The sequence below is a fragment of the Homo sapiens genome, chromosome X (assembly GCF_000001405.40).
Source record: "Homo sapiens chromosome X, GRCh38.p14 Primary Assembly".
Lineage (NCBI taxonomy): Eukaryota > Metazoa > Chordata > Mammalia > Primates > Hominidae > Homo > Homo sapiens.
The window spans coordinates 130,126,973-130,153,825 of NC_000023.11; the positions used below are offsets into that span (position 1 = coordinate 130,126,973).

General features: G+C 44.1%; 2 protein-coding genes across 6 annotated transcripts in view, besides 1 other annotated feature; one reads left to right on the plus strand and one right to left on the minus strand.

Annotated features, from left to right (window-relative positions):
• Positions 1 to 26,853, plus strand: part of RAB33A (RAB33A, member RAS oncogene family) — a 74,248-nt gene that overhangs the window by 16,350 nt on the left and 31,045 nt on the right. The gene's annotated exons all lie outside the window — the stretch shown is intronic.
• The window catches only part of AIFM1 (apoptosis inducing factor mitochondria associated 1), a 36,480-nt gene continuing 12,016 nt past the window's right edge, over positions 2,390 to 26,853 (minus strand). For 2 of the 5 annotated variants that reach the window (NR_132647.2, NM_001130847.4), the window contains 15 exons: positions 22,497 to 22,596; positions 20,780 to 20,904; positions 20,521 to 20,651; positions 18,507 to 18,597; positions 13,561 to 13,645; positions 12,823 to 12,899; positions 11,621 to 11,729; positions 10,351 to 10,553; positions 10,106 to 10,213; positions 9,671 to 9,759; positions 9,073 to 9,213; positions 6,341 to 6,483; positions 4,703 to 4,827; positions 2,998 to 3,194; positions 2,390 to 2,656 (listed from right to left, as the gene is read on the minus strand). Coding sequence is in view for 4 of the 5 variants with exons in the window: in NM_001130847.4 (NP_001124319.1) it covers positions 10,546 to 10,553; positions 11,621 to 11,729; positions 12,823 to 12,899; positions 13,561 to 13,645; positions 18,507 to 18,597; positions 20,521 to 20,651; positions 20,780 to 20,904; positions 22,497 to 22,596 (726 nt within the window). In the remaining variant the exon portion in view is untranslated. Of the gene's footprint in view, positions 2,657 to 2,997; positions 3,195 to 4,702; positions 4,828 to 6,340; positions 6,484 to 9,072; positions 9,214 to 9,670; positions 9,760 to 10,105; positions 11,069 to 11,620; positions 11,730 to 12,822; positions 12,900 to 13,560; positions 13,646 to 18,506; positions 18,598 to 20,520; positions 20,652 to 20,779; positions 20,905 to 22,496; positions 22,597 to 26,853 lie in introns of those variants that run through there. The other 3 variants (NM_145812.3, NM_004208.4, NM_001130846.4) reach the window with 2 other exon arrangements.
• Positions 19,316 to 20,515: an enhancer, noted in NCBI's record as "MED14-independent group 3 enhancer chrX:129280263-129281462 (GRCh37/hg19 assembly coordinates)". NCBI's record gives its function as "activates an origin of replication core promoter dependent on BRD2, BRD4, P300/CBP and CDK7 cofactors, and independent of MED14, by STARR-seq in HCT116 cells {active_cell/tissue: HCT116}" and the evidence as "EXISTENCE:reporter gene assay evidence [ECO:0000049][PMID:35650434]".

The window sequence follows — 26,853 nt, forward strand, 5'->3', positions numbered from 1 at the left end:
GAGGAGGGATGGCGTTCCGGATGTGAAGAGCATGAACACAAGTTTAAAGGTGGCAATAAACCAGGTGTGTGTGTGTGTGTGTGTGTGTGTGTATGTCCATATTAAAAGTCAGGCGGAAAGTCAGCCAAACAGAGTGGGCTTAGTACTACAGGAGACTTTGAACTTGATGTGGTTGGTGACAGGGAATCACTGTACATTTTTAAACAGGGAGGGGACATGGACCAAGTGGTGGCTTTAGGAAGTGGTCTAATAGCAGTGGTTGACTCAGGATGGCTGCTGTGGCTGATCTCTCCATTCTTGGCATGGCCACAGTACTTTTTGTGTCCTTCTGTGGACGTAGCTCATTGTATTGGAGTTCTGCATCCACATGTCTGCATTCCTCACGGACACCAGGAGGTCCTTAAAAGCAGTGGCTATGTTTTATCTATGTTTCTATTCTGACATCTACCTGGCTCACAGGAGGCACCCAATGAACACTGATTAGATGAATAGATCATTTAATTTCAATCCACTGAACTACAATGACATACTATACAAGGATAACTACTGTCAAAGAATTTGACAAAACTGTATACAACACTAAAGCAAGACAAATCACAATTTGATCTTTTCTTAATGATTTGTGGAACACTAGGATCTTAGTCTTACCCCCATCTCTGTAAGCAGCAATTACTGCTGTATAATAATTTCGATGTCACAGGATACTAGATGAGTTTTCCTTTTTTTTTTTTTTTTGAGATGGAATATTGCTGTGTTGCCCAGGCTGGAGTGCAGTGGTGTGATCTTGGCTCACTGTAACCTCCGCCTCCCAGGTTCAAGCAATTCTCCTGTCTCAGCCTCCTGAGTAGCTGGGACTACAGGTGCATGCCACCATGCCTGGCGAATTTTTGTATTTTTAGTAGAGATGGGGTTTTACCATGTTGGCCAGGATGGTCTCGAACTCCTGACCTCAGGTGATCTACCTGCCTTGGCCTCCCCAAGTGCTGGGATTACAGGCGTGAGCCACTGTGCGCAACCCTAGATGAGTTTTCTACATATAGATTTGGATATATCATTTGGATATGATCACATTTGAGTAAACCTGTATCTATATAGTATTGTTCGGTATACCTGTACTGCAAATTCTTACGGTGGAGATTTGGCCTGTTCTCCCAGTGTTCAGAAGGGATTTGGTTGAAGCTGAAACTGCCCTTAATCAAACCCAATATTTAAAAAAAATCCAGACTGGTAATAATTTTCTCTTTATATACATGGAGTTTAACAACAGGACTCTTGAAAGTAGTAACAAATTCCTCTTAAATAAGATTTGATGTTTTTAGGCCGGGCGCGGTGACTCACACCTGTAACCCCAGCACTTTGGGAGGCCGAGGCGGGCAGATAACCTGAGATAGGGAGTTTGAGACCAGCCTGACCATCATGGAGAAACCCCATCTCTACTAAAAATACAAAATTAGCCAGGCGTGGTGGCGCATGCCTGTAATCCCAGCTATTTGGGAGGCTGAGGCAGCAGAATCACTTGAATCCGGGAGGTAGAGGTTGTGATGAGCCTAGGTCGCACCATTGCACTCCAGCCTGGGCAACAAGAGCAAAACTCCATCTCAAAATAATAATAATAAGATTTGATTTTTAAAAGTTAAGCAATCTAAAATGCCAAACAATGAGTTGACTTGTGAAACTTTGAATCGTATTCCCAGGAAATAATCTGTAAAGTGAGGTATGCCCATAAGCGTATTTCAGAGAAAAGGAGCTTAAGAGAGGACAGATGTCTGGCATGAGGACAGCAGGCAGAAGAGTCAAGAGATGATGGTCCTTCCATGAGTCCGTCTCCAGGTTTAACTGTGAAGCACCAGGTCTCTGAACTCAGATTTGTAGTAAGTGCCCTTTCTGTCCCCTGCAGGACCCAATCCAGTTCTGGGACAGGAGTTGTTCCAGGTAAACAAAGTCTATTCCATACATTTATTTGTTCACTCATTCGACAATGATCTATGAAGCACTTACTATGAAGCAGACCCTGTGCTAAGCTCTGGAGATAAAACCATGAGCAAGGCCTTAACATCAGGGCTTCTGCTTCCAGGAAGTCATGGGCTAGCAGGGAGACACATACACAAGGATGAGGCTTGGAAGGCTGGGAAAGTCTTCAGAGATAGTGAACTTCCTGAGAGGAGAGGAGGGGAGTCAAGTGTTGTGGGCCGAGGCCACAGCAGGTGTGTGCAAAGAGGTCTGGAGGGGTGAGGGAAGTTCGGAAATGAAAGGAGTTTTGCGTCTGGAGTAGGGCATGAATACATGGCTGAGAAAAATCCTGTGCTTGGTCGGTGCTGCAATTTGCTTGCTTTCTAATATGCGTGGCTTTCCACCTTCACCCACCTGCCCCCTTGACAAGAGAACAGAATTTAATTTAGAAGAATCAGAATTTATTTCACTATGTGAACATTAAGAATTTACCTACATAGTTGAAAATATTCACAAAGGACTTGATCATTCACACTCATACACAGAGAAAGTCTGCTGAATAAAAAAATGCTCCTTTACCCATTCGACCTCCTCTCAGGGGCTGCAGTGGGTTTGCCAATTCCACTGTGGGGCTTCAGTCTTCATGAATGTTGAATAGTTTGGCTACTTCATTGAGATCTTCATGCTGCTCACCGTCCTTAATGATCTGAGGGAGAGAGAGTAACAATAGGTCCCTAACTTACTCCATTGCGTTCAGGCCATGCCCACACAATGGGGCTACCTGGGGCAGTCCCCATATCACACTGGGAGGGAGTTGTGGGAACAGTTCTCTACTAACCCCAAACAAGCAGCCTGCCAACTCCCAGGTCACCCAGCCAAGTCCCAAGTGAAAAAGAATGTTCCTGAGCCAAGGCTATACCTTTGTTCTGCTCAGGCACAATTTGACCTGGCCGGGGGACAATGCATCTCAGGGCACCCGATGAAGTTACAGGAATGTTTCTAAGCCGTACTTCCCATCTTCCTCTAAGAGTTATGACAGGCACCTACCTTCCTTGCTATTGGCATTCGGTTAAAGATGTTCCATAGCACAATCCCCACGACCACTTTGTCCCTGAGGTAGAAGATGACACCTTTGCCGTAGTCCTCCCCCTGGACGGGAGCCTGTGGAACTGCCGGGGTGCTGGGAGGAATAGTAATTTCTGAGGCCTCGGACTCTGTCTCACTCTCTGATCGGATACCAGTTCCTGTGGCCAGCCCCCAAAACAAATAAACATGGAAGCAAAATCAAAACTTCAGTTATTATGAGCTTGGGAAATTCTAGAAGCCAACAGTCTTTCGAGGCCTGCTTCAAGCTACTTCTAGAGGATTTATTTCTCTATGCCCCCTCAGTAAACCCTGGCCTTCACCAGCCCCTCTCCAGTGACAAAGCCAAGGAAAGGTCTTCCTTGCCAGCTCCTGGGCACAGGGTCAGTCTGACCCTAAACTTCCCTCCCTTATTATCTCATTTTAAATTCATGCTATGAATATTTCCTGGTATCTGGATTTCTTCAAACTGCAGAAGGCTGGTTCTTGTCCTCTAAGAAATAATTCTAGAGCTGCATGGTCCAAATACAGTAGCCACTAGCCACAGCCATGTAAATGAACATCATTTCAAACTGAGTAAGATGTAAAATTCAGTTCCTTATCTGTACTCACCATGTTTCATGAGCTCAAAAGCCACATGTGGCTGGTGGCTAACGTACTGGACAGAGCAGAGATGGAACATTTCCATCGCAGCAGAAAGTTCTATTGGACAGTGCTATTAGACAGGTACTTTAGACAAAGCAGAAGGCACTTCCATTTGGAAAAACCATAGTGGAGGCATTTCTTCCTAGAGAAAGAGGGGAAGGGAAGGGTGGCATAGGAAGGGGGCACCTTGCTGAGAACCACCAGCCTCCAAATAATACTGTCCAGTCGACAAAGCAGTGACATGAATCCACTTACTAGGTTACTAGGAGAGATCAGAATTAAGGAATATGGAATACATTAGAATTACACAGGAAAAGGACCTACATATCCATATAATGTCTTGCTTTCTCCTTCTTAAACAGCACCTTGCCCTTGAGACACCTCTGGCAAAAGGATGCAGAAGTTAAATAACTTGAGCTAAGGTCAAGGAATAAGGTCTCGGAGTTAATGAAAGAGACATGTGTGGGAGAGAAGTCCATTCCAAGAGAGGTGCCTCCCATCTAAAGAAAACCTGGCACTAAGATCTGCCAAATGGAATGGGAGGCAGCTAAATAACTACTCAGCCCAGTTCCTCCCTGCGCAGGACCCATGGAGGATAGCCAGTCTTAAGCTAAGCCTATCAGGCCGTGTTCTTGAGATTCGCCTGAAGCAAAATAATAAAAATGACAACTGAAAGAAAGAAAAATAAAAACGCAATCTAAAAAGTTCAGGTTTTCTTGTTTTCTTCCTTAGAAAGGTCTTCCCAGAGACACACAAAACAGCAGTGTCATTGAGCTAGCCACTGTCCACTGTCTAGGACAGATACCCACAATATTTGAATCTATGCTTTGACCAGGATACCTGATTTTGCCAAATCTCAGACCACTAAAGAGTGAGGACTTGGGGTTTGGTTTCTTTTAAAGCACAACATGAAGAGAGGCTTTCACTGACAAGCCCCTCTGGCCAATACAGAAACCCCTTGTTCAGGAGAATCTGGACCACTGCTTCTCAACACTCTCCAAGAGGAGTGCTAGGACTTTCTTACCTGACTGCTCTGTGGCAGATTTGGGGTTGTCTTGTGCAGTTGCTTTTGCAAAAACACCAACTGTGGGCAAACTACTGTCCACAAGACCAATAGCTTCATAGCCAACATCGGGGCCCAAATCACTCCTAAGAAGAGAGAAGAGGGTGTTCTGTCAAGGGACTGTAAGGAATGACACGGTAGCACATATTCTCCATGACACTGCATTTTTTTTTTTTTGAGACGGAGTTTCACTCGTTGCCCAGGCTGGAGTGCAATGGGTGCGAACTCAGTTCATTGCAACCTCTCCCTCCTGGGTTCAAGTGATTCTCCAGCCTCAGCCTCCTGAGTAGCTGGGATTACAGGCACCCACTACCACCCTGGCTAATTTTTGTATTTTTAGTAGAGACGGGGTTTTACCATGTTGGCCAGGCTGGTCTTGAACTCCTGACCTCAAGTAATCTGCCCGCCTTGGCCTCCCAAAGTGCAGGGATTACAGATGTGAGCCACCGCACCCGACCAACACCGCACTCTTATGCCAACCAAAGAACTTAGTATGCAGATCACGAGAGATGCCAACTGATCTGCTGTTGCTAGAGCATCTAGGGATGACCATGAGAAAGTAAGATTAACCCTAATAGCTTTGACTTTTCCTTAAAAAGCCATTATACACGACCACATATCCATGCGGTGATTGAAACGTTCTTGAATTTATTCGTGCTTTTATCCCATGCCACATTTGGAAAGTGATGAGGTTCCCACTTTTGCTATTCACTACTTTTGTCTTGAAATTCCCTTTTTGAAGCTTTAAAGAGTGTTCCACATTTATGGAATTCAGAATTTGAGATGTTTTATGGCTTCATTAACCTACAGTATTTCCCCTTAGCCTCCACTTTTCTTTTTTTTAACTTTTAAAAACTTTTTATTTAAAAAATTCAGACGAGCTCTTGCTATGTTGTCCAGGTTGGTCTCGAACTTCTGGGCTCAAGCAATCCCCCGGCCTTGGCCTCCCAAAGTGCTGGGATTAGAGGCATGAGCAACCATACCAGACCAGCCTTCATCTTTTAGGACTGGAATGCTTTCTGACACTCCTTTTTTTTTTTTTTTTTTTTTTGAGACGGAGTCTCGCTCTGTCACCCAGGCCGGAGTGCAGTGGTGTGATCTCGGCTCACTGCAACCTCCACCTCCTGGGTCCAAGCAATTCTCCTGCCTCAGCCTACCGAGTAGCTGGGATTACAGGCATGCACCACCACGTCCAGCTAATTTTTGTATTTTTAGTAGAGACGGGGTTTCACCATGTTGGTCAGGCTGGTCTCAAACTCCTGGCCTCGTGATCCGCCCACCTCGGCCTCTGACCTATTTTGCCGGAAGTGCTGGTGCCATCTCCATTCATTCACCTAGTCTAACATACGCCAGACAGAACACTTAAAATAATTTTTTTCTCTTTTAATGTTTTACAAAAGGATCAGTTTGGTGAAAAACTAAACAGGACACTTCTGCCAGATGGCTACCTGAGGGTAGAATGTGTGGACATAAGATGGACTTTTTTCCCTTCTGTATGAAGCTAACTGGCTCATAATAAAACCAAACCATAACTCTGTGTTATGGTCCTAGAGATACTGAGTTGTAATCAGTTGGGTCTCCAAGGCACACCACTATTACCAGAACATTGACTGATGCCAGTACGGCTTAGCAGCTCCAGTCATATTTTCTCCAGCCAATCTTCCACTCACAACAGCGTGATCATGGTGCTCTACCCGCCTCCTTCCCAACTTTATATCGTAGAAGCATGCAGCATCTCCTGCCTGTGGAAACAAATACATAACATGAACACATGATAAAAAAAAAAAAAGCAAGTTAAAGACAAAATATAAACTTTGGGGGCTCAAAGAACACTTGTAATGGTAACTAATTCATGTTTTCCATCTACAGGCCAGAGTTGTACTTAAACTAACAAAAACAGCTGATAACCCATTTAAATTTTTTTTTTTTCTTTTAGACAGGGTCTCACTCTATTGCCTGGGCTGGAGTGCAGTGGTGCGATCATGGCTCACCACAGCCTGGACCTCCAGGCTCAGATGATCCTCCCGCCTCAGCCTCCCAAGTAGCTGGGACTACAGGAATGCACCACCATGCCTGGCTAAATTTTTTTTTTTTTTTTGGTAGAGATGGGGTGTTGCCATGTTGCGCAGGCTGGTTTTGAACTCCTGGGCTCAAGCAATGTGCCTGCCTCAGCCTTCCAAAGTGCTGGGATTACAGGCATGAGTCACCACGCCTGGCCTGAGATCTCATTTTAAAACATCTATTCCAGGCCAGGTGCAGTGGCAAATGCCCGTAATCCCAGCACTTTGGGAGACCAAGGTGGGTGGATCACAAGGAGTTCGAGACAAGCCTGGCCAATATGGTGAAACCCCATCTCTACTAAAAATACAAAAAATTAGGCGTGTGTGGTGGCAAGCGCCTGTAATCCCAGCTACTTGGGAGGCTGAGACAGGAGAATGGCTTGAACCCAGGAGGCGGAGGTTGCAGTGAGCTGAGATCGTGCCACTGAACTCCAGACTGGGAAACAGAGCGAGACACCGCCTCAAAAAAAAAAAGAAAAAAAAATCTATTCTGCTTCCATAAAGCTAACCTAAATCTTCTATAGTTTTGTTTACTTATGTCTACTTCCTGTTCTTTCCTTAACAGACAGGATATTTAATAACCATGATTTGCAGAATATTCTTTTCTATATGTAGAAACCAGTTTTTGGATGTGACTGCCTCTCACCTAGAAATGTTTTCTTAGATTTCTTTTTGTCACTCAGTATTCATTCATTCGACAAATATTTATGGAGTACTTATTATATACAAAAGTATTATGTTGTCCGGGTTGCTGAGACAAAACTGACATGGACCTTGACTATGAGGAGCATACAACCTAGTACAGAAAGATACAGCCTTGCTCACAACTACAGAGCAATGTAAACAGTAGTGTGCCATATGAGAGGTACAGATTAAAGGAGTCAAGTATTTCAAGCAGAGGGCGAGAACCTCCAGCCGGGGGTGAACTGGACCAGCTTCATGAAGGATGTGGCATTTGAGCTCTCTAACCCTTTGTTCATCTTTGTGGCTATTTAGACTCCCCCAAAGCAACCTAAAAATCCAACGAGTGAGCAACCGTAAACTGTGAAATTCGCTTAATGGAATATATAGTCATTAAACTGTTTACAAAGTCTGAAGCAACATAGAAAATGCTTACATTTATGGTGTTAAGTGGAAAAGAGCAGAATATTATATATAGTATGCTTGCCACGAATAAAACAAACCAACAATAAAACCTACATGCAAGGAAACACAGGGAAGGAAATACACCAAAATATTAATGGTTGCTGCAGGTGACTTTCCTCTCCTCTCTCCTTCTTGTCTGTCTTCTACATTGACCACATATTACTTTTTTTTTTTTTTTGAGACTGAGTCTTGCTCTGTTGTTGCCCAGGCTGGAGGGCAGTGGCATGATCTCCACTCACTGCAGCCTCTGCCTCCTTAGTTCAAGTGATTCTCCTGCCTCACTCAGCCTCCCAAGTAGCTGGGATTACAGGCCTGTGCCACCACACCCGGCTAATTTTTGTATTTTTAGGAGAGACAGGGTTTCACCATGTTAGCCAGGCTGGTCTCAAACTCCTGATCTCAAGTGATCCACCTGCCTCAGCCTCCCAAAGTGCTGGGATTACAGGTGTAAGCCACTTCTCCTGGCCCACGTATTACTTTTATAACAGGTTAAAAAGATCCAGTACATCTTTTTTTTTTTAAAAAAAAAAAAAAAAACAAGGTTTGGAGGGGGAAAAAAATTCCTCCAAGGTACCTACGTCCTTAGTTGCAGAGTCCATAAACAAACACAATACACTTGTAACTAGCAATGGGGAAATTACCTCATGGTTCCTACATACTATAGTCTTGTTTATGTCATAATAGATTGTAAAAAACAGCTAAAAATAGTACTCAAGGAAAATGAAAACAGAGTAATTTTCCTTTCTAGGGAACAGGTTATAACATTGCTTCATCCTCCATCCTCCGGATTCAAGTTTGAGCAAAGGGAACAGCAGATCCATCTGAAGGCTTATGTGCATGCCCACCAGGGGTTATGCCAGTAGCTGCTGCCAATAAGTAGAACCGGAAGAGCTCTACCCCTGCAGGCATGCACACTGTTCATTTCATCTGCCACTAGCTTGCAGATGAGGCCATACCTGGTCTTCTGAATCAAGCAGTTCACACATTTCTATTCTGTACCCTCAGCCTCCAAACACTCTGACCCTATTTGGTTAGGCTGTTGATGAGCTTTAGCACACCACCGGGCAGACTTGTTCACAGGCTAGGGAGAATGAATTATGCCTGGTCATGCTGTAGCACACTTACCACCCAGATGTTAGAGCGTGCTTGTAGCTCTGCATTTACCCGGAAGCCACCAAAATCTGAGTCTATTTCCAGGCCACCAGTCTTGGCCAACTCAACATTGGGCTCCAGGCCCACAGCTGCCACTATGTGGTCAGTTTCTACCTGAGGCAAAAAAGAAATAATTCAGTCAATTACCACAGTTTCCATTTATGCCTACAGGCGTAACAATGGCCCTTCATGCCATTAAGAATTGGGACTTTAAAAAATCATGGGTTAACTTACCTCTGATAAATGGATTTTAAGTTCTATTTCATAAGCCTCCACCACCCCATCCCATGCACATCCCCCATGTCATTCGAACAGAAATCTGCCACCCTAGCCAGGACTCAAAACTCTGTGAGACAGATAGAATGGGGCTAAGGGAAAGTGGTTCACAGGAGCCTACTCTGGCTCTCATCATTCTGTTTTAATGGAGGGATGGTTAATTCGGAAAATTATATCAGGTTAATGGCAACTGCCAGGAAAACTAATCTACTGGTGTCAAATGAAGGAGTAAAAATGAGGCAAGGGGAGTGGAGAACTGGAAGGCCTCTTGGCAGACTATCTTTTCCTTCCTTACCTTCCTGCCGTCTTTCAGCTTGATAAGTAACTTGCCACTGCTGACTCCAACGGATTGCACAATAGCATTGGGCATCACCTTAACCCCCTCTGTAAAGGCAAACAAGACCTGAGAGTGAGCCTACAAGGCTATCACTTTCATGGGAAGTAGGAAAGCTGACCAGCGGTCTCCTCCACGGTAAAACCAATTATCAGTACACAGGCAGTTTTGGAGAGCTGCAAGAACCTACACCCATGGTTCATTTTCAGCACTTCCAGGAATTTGGGGCATCTGATTCAGAACACCTAGATGAACTTAGCTGACTGGAGAATGGTGGAAACATTTTACAGGCCAGGTGATAGGGCTTATGTCAAGGGGGTTCCTATAGAAGCGAAGTTTGCCTTAGGTCACACTCAAAGGAAATAGAGTGGCAGCATATAGAAACAGTCTCTCTACCTCGTCTGACTTTTTCCATGGTCCAGTTGCTGAGGTATTCGGGGAGGATCTTTCCCATATTTCCTTTCTCGGGGAAGAGTTGAATCACTTCTGTGCCCAAGGCTCGAGCTGGGAAGAAGAAACAGAGTAGTTACAGCAGGAAGCAAAAGTCAATCCTAGGAATACAGGAAGAGAAGTAAAGGAGCAGCAGGCAGCCCTCACTACAGACAGGGCAGAGCTGCAATCCAGGCCGAGCGCCCACTTACAGGACAGTGGGCATGAGGGCCTCGGTGCTCAAGTTCATTTGTAACGCAAATACAACAGGTATCAGAACTGCTGGCCCCAGATTAAGCTTCAGATGGTGAACTCTGTGCACTTCCACCCATGCAGTCACCTAAGGCTTACATAAGTGCTTTGCAACCTCTGAATAGGAAGCATCCTCCTGAAAAGATGCCCTGATTTCATATATCTGAAAAAGAACATTAAGAAAACTAGTTGCCATGAAACATTCCAACTGGAGCTCACAGATCTCTCAAGCTGGGAACCATCATGTGCCCAAAGAAGTTTTTGGCATTTTACAGGAAGCAGCAGTTCAAAGACACCCATAATTCTGTAGTCTGCATTGCCCTTATCATCTTCATAACTCACTTTCCTTAATATTTTATTTCTAAGGAGTCCTGGCATAGAGGGTAGAGGAAAAGAAAGGAAAGAAAGTATTGCTGTTGGCCAGGTGCAGTGACTCACACCTATAATCCCAGCACTTTGGGTGGCCGAGGTGGGTGGATCACCTGAGGTTGGGAGTTCAAGACCAGCCTGACCAACATGGAGAAACCCTGTCTCTACCAAAAATACAAAATTAGCCAGGTGTGGTGGTGCATGCCTGTAATCCCAGCTACTCCAGAGGCTGAGACAGGAGAATCGCTTGAACCTGGGAGGCGGAGGTTGTGGTGAGCAGAGATCACACCATTGCACTCCAGCCTGGGCAACAAGAGTGAAACTCCATCTCAAAAAAAAAAAAAAAAAAGCATCGCTGTTAAGTTGCTCAGGTGACAGCTTTTTGGTCACCAAGGGATCCCTCACCAGAACTAATCTCAGTGTTTAGCTTTTCACTATATAAACCTTAATTAGGCTGGGTGTGGTGGCTCACGCCTGTAATCCCAGCACTTTGGGAGGCCAAGGTGGGCGGATCACCAGGTCAGGAGATCGAGACAGTCCTGGCTAACACGGTGAAACCCCATCTCTACTAAAAATACAAAAAATTAGCCAGGCGTGGTTACAGGCGCCTGTAGTCCCAGCTACTCGGGAGGCTGAGGCAGGAGAATGGCCTGAACCCGGGAAGCGGAGCTTGCAGTGAGCCGAGATCGCGCCACTGCACTCCAGCCTGGGTGACAGAGCGAGACTCCATCTCAAAAAAAAATAAATAAATAAACCTTAATTAAACTCTTCCTACTGATCCTGCCAAACACATCTCTGGGATTCACAGAAAAGCTATATAAGACTAGAGAAAGAAAATCAAGGTCACTCCTCAATACTCACCCTTTCTGCCAAGAGCACAGGCCAGTTCGCTACCAAGGAAGCCCCCACCGATAATCGTAATTGATTTGACTTCCCGTGAAATCTTCTCCAAGCTTCTAAAGTCTCCAATCTGCAGGATCACATCAGTTTAGTCCATTAATTTCCAAAAGGGGCATAGGATAATAATACTAGAAAGTAGTTTCTTCTAAATCTTTGGCAAAAGTAAATTTTCTCCTTGTATAAAGTGACTCAATTATAACTTCTATGTTATTAATGCAAATTTATTTCTTCATGGTAAAATTCCTTCTATAAACAGTGGTTCTCAATTGGTGGCAGTTTTGTCCCTATCTTCCCCAGGAGGACATCTGGCAATATCTGAAGACATTTTTGGTTGTCAGGGCAAGTAGGTGCTCCCAGCATTTAGTGTGCAGAGGCCAGGATGCTGCTAACATACTACAATGGCATAAGACAGCCCCCACTACAATTATCCAGCTCAAAATGCCAATACTGCAGAGGCTGACAAGCCTTGTTCTAGGAAGAACTTAAAAGACAGTACACAGCCTGGCCAACAGGGTAAAACGTCCCTACTAAAAATACAAAAAAAAAAAAAATTAGCCGGTCGTGGTGGCACATGCCTGTAATTCTAGCTACTTGGAAGGCTGAGGCACAAGAATCGCTTGAACCCGGGAGGCGGAGGTTGCAGTGAGCCAAGATCGCACCACCGCACTCCAGCCTGGGTGATAGAGCGAGATTCAGTCTCGAAAAAAAAAAAAAGACAGGACAAATCTTATCCCTGAAAAATGACAGCAGTTTTTATAAGCACAGTGTTAAGAAGCAGAACACCTCCTTGCTTTTTATTTAGGTACTCTTAACTTTTTTCTCAGAAGTCTCTACACAGCACTTGCAATGAAAAATGCCAAGAGGCTGTAAGGGGTTCCAATGAATCAAACACATCAGGAAAAAACAACTATGGAAGAGCAATCAGAAGGATCTATTGCAAGCAATACAAACACTCCATTTTTTCCCTAGGAGCTTAAAACCCTTGAGTGAGGTATCTGAGGTGCAGAGAGAGGAAGTGACTTGTTCAAGGCCAGATAACAAGTCTGGAGAAGAGCCATAAATAGAACTTGGATCTCCCAAGTCCCGGGTGGGCACTTGGGGACTGCAAGATTATACTACTTCTTCAAAAACAACACAAGGAAAACACTAAAGCAGACAATTACCTTTCTGAAAAGCGTTGTTCTACTCTTCACCTCTGCTCCAGCCCTATCAATGGCAGACAGACTTCTTGGAGTACCTCCTGGAAATAAGAGAAGGAAAACCCTTTAGCCCAACAAGCAGGAGCCAGCCCAAACAATACTCCCTCCACCACACAAAGGTGGAGCCCTCTTCACTTAGCACCATGGCGGCAACAACAGGATAGGATACCAAGGCTTTGTTTGCCTTCAGCTTGCCTCACAGCAGGCTTTCTGTCAGTTTCCTTTGAGAAGCAGATTTGAGAGTCTGTCTTCAAGGGGTACACCCTGCCCCTAGGTGGCCAAAAGGCCTTACTTTTGGCTTCCATGTTCTCTTCTAGTTTCTCATGAGGATTTGCCAGCTAGCATAGCTACATGGGTTTGATAAATTGCTTCTGTCTCCTCTCTTGGTTTCTGATTGCAACTGGCAATGAAGCCACAAACGACATCACTTTCAAGGCACAGGGCACAGGGTGAGGGTTAAGCAGGGAGAGAAAAAAGGGCAACTTCTTCATGCCTCTACCGGGAGAACAGCAAGGATCATCCAGAAGGGCTGGTGATCCAGGATGCTTTGACACAGCCAGCTTTTGTACCAAGAGAAGACACTCACTTCAGAGAGTCTGGGTTTCCATTTTCTTAAGTAGTAATGCCTTCCATAGAGAAGGCTGGACTCTAAAACTTGAATGAGCTGTATCAGGGAAGAAAGCCATCTCCAGAAATGCTCACCTGTTGCAATCAAGCACTTTTCATAGGTTATTTGAGAGCCATCATTAAGTTTCACCATGTTGTCTCTCACATCCAGCTGTACTACCTGGTACAGTCACACACATACACAAAAGAGGTAGAGATGAATTAGCATTGAAAAAGTTTTATTGAGATATAATTCACATCAAATTCACCATTTTAAAGTGTGGAATTCTGTGGATTTCAGTATATTCACAAGGTTGTGCCACCATCACCACTATCTGATTTCAGAACATTTCCATCACCACCCCAAAACTCCAGGTCAATAAGAAGTTGTCAGCCCAGGACAGGCACAGTGACTCATGCCTGTAATCCCAACACTTTGGGAGGCTGAGGCAGGCAGATCACTGAGGCCACGAGTTTGAGACCAGCCTGGCCAACATGGCGAAACCCCGTCTCTACTAAAAATACAAAAATTGGCCAGGTGTGGCGGCATATGCCTGTGGTCCCAGCTACTGGGGAGGCTGAGGCAGGAGAATCGCTTGAACCTGGGAGGCAGAGGTTGCAGTGAGCCGAGATCATGCCACTGCACTCCAGCCTGGGCAACAGAGCAAGATTCTGTCTCAAAAACAAAACAAAACAAAAAAACCCCAAAACCACAACAACAAAAACAAACAAAAACAAAAACAAAAAAAGTTGTCAGCCCAATAAGAAGAATGAGTTCTTGACCTAAAGCGATCCTTAAGAAACCATATCCAAGTAATCATGGGAACCACAGTTTCTGGTACCCAGTTTTTTTAGGCAGTCATATGTTGGAAATTGGCAATGAGAAGGCAGGCAACATTAGAGCAAGTCATGACAGTCCCAAAGCCCTGACCCATGTGTGGAAAAGGAGAATCGGAACAGCCTTTCTTATATGGCTGTTTGGAATTACTTATTATTACTTTATTAATAAGTCTCCTACATCTACAACATTTTTACAGAATGCTTTCTCCAACTTGTAGCCTTCACGGAAACTTGGCTCTCTCTTAAGGAGAGCTTACACATAGAGGCTGTTCGTTCCCCCACACTCCACATCACAAGGCCAGGAGGAGGTGTTGGCATTCTGCAAGCTTCTTGAGGTTACTGGTCTGCTGCTTCCAGATTCTTGTACTTTCATTCTCTTCTGAGGGACATCAGAGGAGTCCTATATTCCTACGAATCACTGTTTTGAGCCACCTCCTGGCTACTCCTCCTGATTCACTGAAGACCTTGGAACCTGGCTCATACTTTTCCTCATCTTGTTATCTCCTAAACCTCTCCTCCTACCTCAATTATTCTACTTGTTGGTCACAATTTTCCATCCCTTCAGCTTTCGCTCAGTCTGTCTCCTATGCTTGCTTTCAATTTTCTCTGTTTATTTGACTAGCTGCTCCATTCTAACTAATTTGGGCCAATGGTAGAACACCCAAACTGTTCTTTTGCCAGTACCTTTAATTCCCTTGCACCCTACTCCTTCTTATGGTTAAGAGCTTGAGCTTTGGAGTCAGAGAGAATAGGGCCCCAGTCTTTGCACCACTCTTTACTAGCTGAGACCATTCAATTAAGCACCTACTATGTATCAAGTTGAGACAGTGATCCTTGCTGCTTTCAGAGTTTAGTGGCCAAGACAATTTAACAAGCACTAACAATAATCAAGAGTGACAAATGTGATGTAAGTGGTAAGAACAGTGCAGGTAGCGCTGGGAACATATGACATGTGCAATCTAGTCAGGTTGGGTTGGGTAAAGCTTTCTAGAGGCAATGACATGAACTGAGATCTGATGGATAAGCAGCTTCTTTAGCCTCCTTTGATTTGTCCTTGGTAAGCTCCCTCTTCAATCCAATCCCGCTACTCAACCCTCACGGTGTTCGCTCTCAGATAACCATCTTATGTTCTATTGTATTGCAAAAACAAATGAAGCCATTAGATGTGATCTTCCATAGCTTCCCATGAGGCATGAGGGCTCCCCACCACCCCCGTCCAGCCTATTAACATGCTTGTCCCATCCAATAGGTCCCACCTTTGATTCTATGTCCTCTTCACGCTTTTATCCGATTGCCATCTCTCTTTTCTCATTTAAATCTTTTGAAAGAGTGCTTTACCCTCTTTTCTAACTTCCCAATGGTATCTGTTTTATTTTATTAATTTTTTGAAATGGAGTCTTGTTCTGTCACCCAGGCTGGAGTGCACTGATGCAATCTTGGCTCACTGCAACCTCCGCCTCCTGGGTTCAAGCGATTCTCGTGCTTCAGCCTCCTGAGTAGCTGGGATTACAGGTGTGCGCCACCACACCTGGCTAATTTTTGTATTTTTAGTAGAGATGTGTTTTCACCATGTTGGCCAGGCTGGTCTCTAACTCCAGACCTCAAGTGATCCACCTGCCTCAGCCTCCCAAAGGTATCTGAACCGCCAAATCTCACAGTGCATTTTACGGTTCTTTTCTTCCCAGATTCCTCTGCCACGGTAACACTGTGGATCACATTCTTTTTCTTGAAACTCCCTACAACCTTGGCTCCTGTCCTCAGGTTTCCTCATACTGCTCTTTAAGTTCTTTCCTAGTCTCCTTTGTGGGTTCTTCTTAAGCCTGCTTCCTAAAAATTGGGGTTCCCCAGGGCTCTATCCTTGCCTTCCTCCTCTTCTCACCAGATCAGTTCTCCCTGGGAGGCTTCACCTACTCTCATGGTTTCAACTTCTACACATATGCAGATGATTCTCAGCTCTCTATCTGAGCCCAAGTCCCCTGGGCGTGGCAGTCATATGTCCAACTGCCCAGAAGACACCTTCACGCAGATATTCCACTTCATACTTAATGGTCCAAAACTGAATTTTATCTTCCCCCTTAAACTAGCTCTTCCTCTTGTAATGTCTTTCTCAGCTGTGGGTACACTGCCATCCACTCAGACATGCAGGCTAGAAATTAGAAAATCATCTTTGCCTCCTCCATCTCCTTCATCTTCTACCTTTAACCAACCACCAAGCCTCATCAAGCATGACTCCTAAGCATGCCTCAAGTGTGTTCCCTACTTCTCATCACCTTTCTATCAAGAAGTAATACTGGCTGGACACGATGGCTCATGCCTGTAATCTCAGCACTTTGGGAAGCCGAGGTGGGTGGATCACCTGAGGTCAGGAGTTCGAGACCAACCTGGCCTACATGGTAAAACCCCATCTCTACTAAAAAGACAAAAAAAAAAAATAGCCAGGCATGGTGGCGCATGCAGCTACTTGGGAGGCTGAGGCAGGAGAATCGCTTGAACCTGGGAGGCAGAGGTTGCAGCGAGCTGAGATCATGCCACCGTACTCCAGCCTGGGCGACAGAGTGAGAATCTGTCTCAAAAAAAAAAAGTACTGTACACTGTACACTGATGTTATTAATAGCTTAGGCTCTGGAATCAGAATAGCTGGGTTCCAATTCTGTGGCTCAGACAGACCCGGGCTCAAATTCTCTCTCTACCACTTACTAGCTATGTGAGTTTAGGCAAATTATTTAAAATTTATTTATTTTTAAAAATTTCAACTTATTTCTCTGTAAGAGGGAAATAATACCTACCTCATAAGATTATTGGGAGGATAAAATGAGATGGTGCACATAAAGCATTTAAGAACTGTGCTTACAAGATTAGAATAGGTACTATACAAATTTTACCTCTTACTTTCTTCTTCTTCTTCATCATCATCATACCACTACTATTCTAATTTGGGCTCTCATCATCTCTTGCCTAGATTATTGCAATAATCTCTGAAATGGTCTCTCTCTAGTCTTGTCTCACTGAAATCCATCCTCCTCACGGCCAATGGTGATTATTTAAAATTCAATTGCCTAAAATGCAACAGCTCCCCAGTGCAGAAAAAGCTCTTTCACGCAAAGCCCTCCACAATCAGGCCCCTTGCATAACTTCTCAGGTTCATCTCTTGCCACTTCCTAACTTGTACCTAACTGCTCTATCAGTATCGAGCTGCTTCTATTTCCTGGCACCAAACATGCTTTTTTGTGCCCTTGTGCTTTTGCTTATGCTGTTCTTTTTTACTTGGATGCTCTTCAGTCTTCTCTAGTCTGGTGAATGCCTCTTCATTCCATAAGATTGCCCATTCTGTAAGACCTTCTCCTCCAGAAAGCCTTTCCTGATGTCATCACTCTACTGGGCACCCTTCCCAGTATTTCCCACAACATACTGCGCAGATCTCTCTTACTACACACCTATGTGTTATGATTATGTATTTATGTTTCTGCCTAATACAGTTAGCCCCTAGAGGGCAGGGCCTGAATGTTGTTTACACATAGGGGACACTAAATGTCTCATTACCGGCTTATCAACAAACCTATATCCATCTTCTCTGTCTAATGTCCCCTTACAGGAGAAGTGAGTATGTTCCTAACGAAGGACAATCCTTCCACTTATGCTGTGTATCTCATCTACTCTGGGCTTTGCTCCTTCAGAGAATGCGTCCCTATTGGAACACTGCCATTAGTTTACACACACACTCTAGTACCTGCCATTAACAACAATAAAATATAACAAAACCATCCTGGGACTCCACAAATACCTGCTAATAACTGACCTTATTACTCAGACACTCACCTTTTAAAGTCTAACAATATATTCCGTGCTGAGTTATGCCCAAATTATTTTACTATGAGTAATACATATTTGTCAATCTTTTCTCATCGATAATCCCAGAGAGAAGTTAGTGTGGGAAAACAGGAAGGATGAGGAAGGGCAGAAGAGCAAATAGGAGAGATAACAGCTTTTAGGGTCAAGTTGAGTCAGCATGCTAACCTAGGCTTTGATACTAGTGCTTTCCCCAGAAAGACACACTCAGCATTATTAAACCTAAAGCAGCTCGATCCTTCTTTGATGAACTACAATGGCAGGACAGACATAAATGGTAATGGAAACACACATCACCATACTGGCTGGTGGGCAAGTACGTAGAGCCTGACAAAAGAAGCGGTCTACTAGCTCACCTTCTTCCCAGTGAGGACAGCCACACCACCATTCTCAATATGAGGCAGGTCCTGAGCAGAGACATAGAAAGAAGGTGGCTGGAAATATATGCTGTATGGAGAAGAGAGGGAGAATATTATAAGCATGTGGAACTGTTATCAGCTTCCCCCGTAGCTTTAATAAAACTGTTTCCATTATCAGAAACTTTAAGGGACGTTTTCCAAAGTAAGTCTCCAAGTCTATTAAATCATGGTCATGACTTGCTTACATACAGGTATCCAGATCAGTGGTTCTCAACTTGGGGCAATTTTGCTCCCAGGGGATGTTTGCCAGTGTCCAGAGACAATCTGGGTTGTAATAACTTGGGTAGGGATGCTACTCATATCCAGTGGGTAATGGCCAGGGATGCTGCTAAACATCCTATGATGCACTGGACAGCTCCCCACCCCCAGCAAAGCGTTATCCTGCTCCAAATGTCAATAGTGCTGAGGCTGAGGATCCTGCTCTAGATTTAGGTTCATTTCAAAGTAAGAACAAGTGGAGCACCCAAAGAGCTGGTATTCACATATCCACCCAAATGGGTTGTCCAGAATGGTGCTCTTCAATGGAACAACTAATTATAGCTCCTGAGAAGACTCTGCCTCAAGCAGTTATCAACTATGATATATTAATATTAATTAGTTAATATATTAATATTGGCTGAGTGCAGTGGCTCAGGTCTATAACCCCAGTGCTTTGGGAGCCCAAGTTGGGAGGATCACTTGAGGCCAGGAGTTTGAGACCAGATTGGGCAACATAGCAACATCTCGTCTCTAGAAAAAAATTTTTTTAATTAATAAAAGGCACGTGGTGGTACGCACCTGTAGTCCTAGCTACTCGGGAGGCTGAGGTGGGAGGATCACTTGAGCCCAGGAGTTTGAGGCTGCAGTGAGCTATGATTCGGCCACTGCACTCCAGCATGGGTGACAGAGCCAGACCCTGTCTCTCAAAATATGTGTGTGTGTGTGTGTGTGTGTGTGTGTGTGTGTGTGTGTATGCATATGTATACATATAAAGTTAGCCACTAACTTAATTGAAAGTATACATCCTGTTTGAAAATGGAACTAGTGGGGGTGAGGGAAAAGGGTAAGTTTGTAAAATTTGGTCAGGTATCAAAGGGGTCACTAATGAGAAAAAAAATTGGAACCCAAAGAACATGGTACTAGAATTGAGATCTAAGTTGTCCATCAAAAGGAAAAAGCTTCTGGACCTGTATCTCCAAGTCTGTCGTGCAAAAATTCTAACACAGGCTCTTCCTTACAGCCTTCCTACTCTACTCCTGAAATTCTAAATGCCTGCTAGGCTGTCAAAGAGAGTGCCGTTAAAAAGTTTCTTTTCTTCTGCTCTTGTAGGACATGTCTAGGCAAGTATAAAGAAGTGATGGCTGGGGGCAGTGGCTCACGCCTGTAATCCCAGCAATTTGGGAGGCCGAGGAAGGCGGATCATGAGGTCAGGAGATCGAGACCATCTTGGCCAATGTGATAAAACCCCATCTCTACTATAAAATACAAAAAATTAGCCGGGTGTGGTGGTACGTGCTTGTAATCCCAGCTACTTGAGAAGCTGAGGCAGGGGAATTGCTTGAACCCGGGAGGTGGAGGTTGCAGTGAGCTGAGATTGCGCCACTGCACTCCAGCCTGGTGACAGAGCAGCAAGACTCCATCTCAAAAAATAAAAATAAAAAAAGAAGTGACAATACAGGCCAAGTTGATCTTCACCTAAAGAAGCTTAACATAAAGGTTCCAGAAATAGGAGCATTAGTATTTCAGAGGCCAACATTACACCATCAACTGTTGGTAGATCTGGTAACAGAATCCAGGACTCTTGCCCTTTGTAGACTGTTATCTCTAAGCTGTACCAAGTGTGGACCACAGTAGACTCTAGTGGACAGCCAAGCCATCCCTCCTATTACTGTACACAGTCAGTGGCAAAATCCTAACCTATTCTCTGTGCTTAGCTGAAGTTGATAGGCTCATTTTACATAAGCAAACACACCTTCTCTCTTTTCCATTCCACTGTTTGAATCGCAGTGTCTTTGTGACATTTGGGTCATCTGAAAACCACAGTTCTTTTGAAAGAGGAGGTCGCATGTACGGCAGCTCAGGATCTTCAGATACAATCAGTACCTTCAGACATAAAAATCATGACGCTTATCAGAGCCAAGTCATTTAAGGGGCAAATGTCAAAGCATTCACATTAGCTAAATGCTTGCAGACTGTACCCTCTGTGCCAAGCAAAAAAACATGCACCTTACCCTGGCCCCAGGATCCCGAGCCCGGATGGATCTGGCTGCAGCAAAAGCAGCTGTGCCTCCACCAATTAGCAGGAAAGGAACATGACTTGGCGCCTTGTCTTGAGGAACTTCCTCTCCTTCTGAAGCTGAAAGCAACAGAACAGACTGGATGAATCTTCTTGAAGTCTCAGATGATTCTTTGCCACTGTTAAAAAAAAATCACCTTGCACTTGTCTCAATCCTCCACATAAAGCTAGCAAAACATATGACCTACGCTAATCTTAACAATCTTCACAGCATCCTGATGGGAGAGGAAAAGCAAGTATCCCTTTCATTTCATAAGTGAAAAATAGGAGAATGATTTCACCAATGTCATTCATTCATCAGGTCTGAACTGGTACTAGGACATAGCTTAAATATTTAGTTACTTCTAAAACATTTAGAAAGTATACATCAGTAGGCTTTTGCCCTTCCCATCAATTTCCTAGTGATCACCAGGAAAATATCAGGCTCAGTTTCACCTTCCGTTAGCAACAAAGGGAGAAAATCCAGGAGGTCAATTGGGGATTATCATACAATGTTCAAGAATAAGGGGGTGCTTTTGAAAAAAGCAGAACAAATTGCCCACCCAGAGTTGTGGGGCTTATTAAAGGATTAAAACAGTCCTCTCTGAAAATTGAAGTGAATCATGTGAAATGGAAGTGATGGCTAGGGTATGTGCTTTAGGAAAGCAAATATACCTTTAGCAACTCGAAACTGCAAAGACTCAAAAGGGGAACAAAACAGACTAGAAGAATTTCCTCATTTAAAAAACAGCTTTCGGCTGGGCGTGGTGGCTCCCACCTGTAATCCCAGCACTTTGGGAGGCCGAAGCAGGCGGATCACCTGAGGTCAGGGGTTTGAGACCAGCCTGGCCAACATGGTGAAACCCTGTCTCTACTAAACATACAAAATTAGCCAGGCATGGTGGCACACACCTGTAATCCTAGCTACTCCAGAGGCTGAGGCGGGAGAATTGCTTGAACCCAGGAGGCGGAGGTTGCAGTGAGATGAGATCGGGCCACTGCACTCCAGCCTGGGCAAAAAGAGTGAAACTCCATCTCAAAAAAAAAAAAAAAAAAAAAAAAAAGGTTTTCATCTCTTTTCCATCTTTTCCAATAGTTTTCCTTGCTAAGCTTGCCTTTTAAGAGACTTTTTTTTTTTTTTTTTTAGACAGAGTCTTGCTCTGTCACCCAAGCTGGAGTGCAGCAGCGTGATCTTGGCTCACTGCAACCTCCGCCACTTCAGTTCAAGAGATTCTCATGCCTCAGCCTCCCGAGCACCAGGGATTACAGGCGTGCACCACCACGCCTGGCTAATTTTTGTATTTTTAGTATAGATGGGGTTTTACCATGTTGGCCAGGCTGGTCTTGAGCTCCTGACCTCAGCTGACCCGCACATCTCGGCCTCACAAAGTGCTGGGATGACAGGCGTGAGCCACCGTGCCCAGCCAAGAGACTAATATTAATATACAGATAAACAACCAATCATAATTATCACTAGCTTTATTCTCAAACCCAAATTTCAGCCAAATGCTTTAAATCACTCCCAGTTCTAGGGTAATACCATACTTTCTAGATGCTTGCAATCTCATACCACCATTGCTTCTACAAGACATCCATAAATCACAGCACCCAAACTGTTTATAACTTTCCCTTTGTGAGTCTCAAATCATAGCAAGACTTAAGGGAATACTCACCAGATAACGCGGCCTTTTTCTGTTTCTGTTCTGGTGTCAGCCCTAACCCTGAAATTCTTTCATTGTATCTTTTTTCATCCTCTTTCATAGTCTTGTAGGCCTGCGGATCCAAACATGGAGAAAGTTTATTTCACCATACAGCTAGCTCATACTGTAAGTAATATTATCTTTCAATTAAATGAGAAGCTTTTGTCTATCTGATGTTAGTTCCTCTATGTCAAAACCACTAAGACAAAGTTGTTTTCTTAAGAAATAAAAAATACTGGGTGTGCACATGCTTGGTATGGAAAAAATATGTGTAAGCAGATGAAAATATTCCAGTTTCAGATTTTTAGGCTCTCTATAAAGAATTCTCCCCATATTTTATTCTGAAGGTACAGTTTAAGAAAAAAGAAAAAATCATTTTATACTAGAAGAATAAAGTGCTAGAAAGGGCTAATCTATATATGAAGCACAGAAACGGGGTTTGGACTACGCTGGACACTAGCTGTGAAATCAATCTATAGGGTCCCGGGTAGGAAGCTGGGACATAAGTTTTCCTGGTCAACATTCCGGCTTTTGCTAAGTACTCACACAGTGGTCAGAAACATGGCTGCCTGTATTCTATTTTTAGAGAGTTACCCATCATTCCCTCAATGGTCTATCCTTTTCTTAAACTCACGAGGTAGAAGGAATCTCATTCAGAAAAACTACACACAGATATTTACTAGGGGGTCAAACACCTTGCTTAAACACACCTGTTACATTTCAAATATTCTATCTTCTCTATCCTTTCAAATTGGAAAAGGGTAATTTTACCATTATGACCAGTTGTGTGTTGTTCTTTTTTAACATACAGTACCAGAGTTTATTGGAGACTTTTTTTTTTTTTTTTTTTTTTTTTTTGAGACGGAGTCTCGCTCTGTTGCCCAGGCTGGAGTGCAGTGGCGGGATCTCGGCTCACTGCAAGCTCTGCCTCCCGGGTTCACGCCATTCTCCTGCCTCAGCCTCCCAAGTAGCTGGGACTACAGGCGCCCGCCACTATGCCCGGCTAATTTTTTGTATTTTTAGTAGAGACGGGGTTTCACCGTTTTAGCCGGGATGGTCTCGATCTCCTGACCTCGTGATCTGCCCGCCTCGGCCTCCCAAAGTGCTGGGATTACAGGCGTGAGCCACCGCGCCCGGCCTATTGGAGACTTTTTAAAGAAAAGGTAGGCAAGAATGACTTAACATTACAATGCTTTTGGCCGGGCATGGTGACTCACACCTGTAATCCCAGCACTTTGGGAGGCTGAGGTGGGCAGACCACCTGAGGTGAGGAGTTTGAGACCAGCCTGGCCAACATGGTGAAACCCCATCTCTACTAAAAATACAAAAATTAGCTGGGTGAGGTGATGCACGCCTGTAGTCCCAGCTACTTGGGAGGTTGAGGCATGGGAATTGCTTGAACCCAGGAGGTGGAGGTTGCAGCAGTGAGCTGAGATCACATCACTGCACTCCAGCCTGGGCGATAGAGTGAGACTCTGTCTCAAAAAAAAAAAAAAAAAAGAAAAGAAAAACCTACAATGCTTTTGCTCTTTTGTACCCCACAGGGTCAACAAAACAGGAATTTAGGTGAACATATGTCAAATGAAATCTCAGATTAATTGTAGGAGAAAGTAAAGACAATCAGAGGAACTATCATAAAACATATTCTTTTCTTTTTTTTTTTGAGATGTAGTCTCACTCTGTTGCCCAGGCTGGAGTGCAGTGGCGTGATCTCGGCTTACTACAACCTCTGCCTCCTGGGTTCAAGCGATTCTGCTGCCTCAGCCTCCTGAGTAGCTGGGACTACAGGCACACGCCACCATGCCCAGCTAATTTTTGTATTTTTAGTAGAGGTGGGGTTTCACTATGTTGGCCAGGCTGGTCTTGAACTCCTGACCTTGTGATCCACCCACCTTGGCCTCCCAAAGTGCTGGGATTACATGCGTGAGCCACCACACCCGGCCCCATAAAACATATTCTAAGAATACTTCTATGACTTCCTTCCAGAACAGCCCATCAGGCAATGTGCTGCAATTGAGGAACCTGAACCCTGAGAGCTGGGTTCAACCTGGAAGCATTTAACGTTGTGACAAATGAAGTAGAAAGTTAAGTACTGTATGGGAAAAGACAATAGTTACTCCTTGAATTTACTACTAAATGTATCGAATAAATGAATTCAATTAACATTAATTTCAGGAAGAGTTTTTATCTTGGTATCAGATACTATACACAAGTCCAGTATTTACTCATATCTTAAAAACATTTCTTTTAAGAAAGGGACTTTAGCCAGGCGCAGTGGCTGATGCCTATAATTCCAGCACTTTGGGAGGCCAAGTTGTGGAGATCACTTGAGGCCAGGAGTTCGAGACTAGCCTGGCCAAAAGAGCAAACCCGTCTCTATTAAAAATACAAAAAGTACCTGGGTGTGGTGGGGCACGCCTGTAATCCCAGCTACTAGGGAGGCTGAGACACGAGAACCACCTGAACCCCTGAGGTGGCGGCTGCAGTGAGCCGAGATTGCACCACTGCACTCCAGCCTGGGCGACAGAGCGAGACTCTGTCTCAAAAACAAAAACACAACAAAAAAAACCTAGAGGGGAAAGCTTTTCCAAAAAAGGGAAGAGAAGAGAAGAGAAGAGAAAAGAAAAGAAAAAAGAAAAGAAAAAAAAGAAAAGTTTTACCTAAAAAGATGGCTTACTCTGGTCAACATGAATGAAAAGAGAAATAAACAGGGGCCATGTTCATTGAGAGGAATATCCCAAAATAGCCTAAGCCCAGCTCACACTTGCTAATGGCTCACACATGAAGGGAAGAGCAGACCAAGAAATATCTAGAGGTTTAGTGGGGAAAGGGCAAGAATGAGGTCGATCTGTCTGATATATATATATAAATGTATTTATTTCTTTACCTTTCCCCCAAGGGTTTCTGTACTCCTAGTTTGCACAGATTTCCAATTAATGACATGAATACATGTCAGGTTAAGAAAGACTACAAATTTATGAAAAATATTAGTGAAGACAACTTTTCTAAACAGATGAATATGGTGGCATTTATTCAACTTAATGGGATTTGAAAGGAAACAGGTCATTTTCTGAGTGAGGCAATGCAATCCTATAGCTTAACAATAGCAAAGGGCCCAAATACTAAATCTCATTAACTATTCTAAAGGCCACTTTGGCTCTGCCCACCAACAAAAAATAGAGGACTGAGATTTGGGAATCTGCCTCAGGTCCTAGGGAAAGTTACCAGCAAAAAGAGGAAAAACTCTCACATCAATGCGAATCAGAAGTTCATATTTACAATCCGAGCAGCAGAAGCACTGTTGAAATCAGTGTTTTTCAAACTGTGGTTGCATGCCATTAGTGGGCTGTGAAGTCAATTTAGTAGGCTGCAACCAGCATTAGACGCAAACACAAATAGAAGAGAACAGAAGCTAGAGTAAGTGTATGATACCTAGTAAGAGTAGTTTTTGAAGCTTTGTTTCTTTTTATGTATTTGTAGTCATAAAATGGGTTGTAAAAGAAATGTATTTCTCACTGCAGATCATGGTAAAAATTTTTAAAAGTCGACAGTTTAGGCTGGGCACGGTGGCTCACGCCTGTAATCCCAGCACTTTGGGAGGCCGAGGCGGGTGGATCACCCGAGGTCAGGAGATGGAGACCATTCTGGCTAACACAGTGAAACCCCGTCTCTACTAAAAATACAAAAAAAAAAAAAAAAAAAAAATTAGCCGGGCATGGTGGCAGGCGCCTGTAGTCCCAGCTACTCCTCGGGAGGCTGAGGCAGGAAAATGGCATGAACCCGGGAGGCGGACGTATCAGTTAGCCGAGATCGCGCCACTGCACTCCAGCCTGGGCGACACAGAGAGACTCCGTTTCAAAAAAAAAAAAAAAAAAAAAAGTCGGCAGTTTACTCCCTTTTTTTGGAGGGTAAAGTGGGAGGGAGGTAAAGAGCTCCCAATACAGGAATTGCCAAAGTAATAGTTATACTTAAGTTAGGAACATTTCTTCAAATGACAGAAAAAAGTTACGAAGAAACGCTATTCACTGTTATGGACTGAATGTTTCCTATTCCTATATTGAAGCCTTAACCCACTATGTGATGGTATTTGGCAATGGGGCATTGGGGAGGTGATAATGATTGAATGAAGTCTTAAGGGTGGGGCCCTAATCAGATAGAGCTGGAGCTCATACAGGAAGGGGAAGACACCGGAGTTCCCTTGCTCACTCTTTCTCCCTCTCCGTCCCCCACCCCGCAAAACCATGTGAGGACACAGCAAGAGGGTAGGCTGTCTGAAAGCTAAGAAGAGAGCCCTCACCAGAAACTGAACCCTGTGTGACCTTGATCTTGG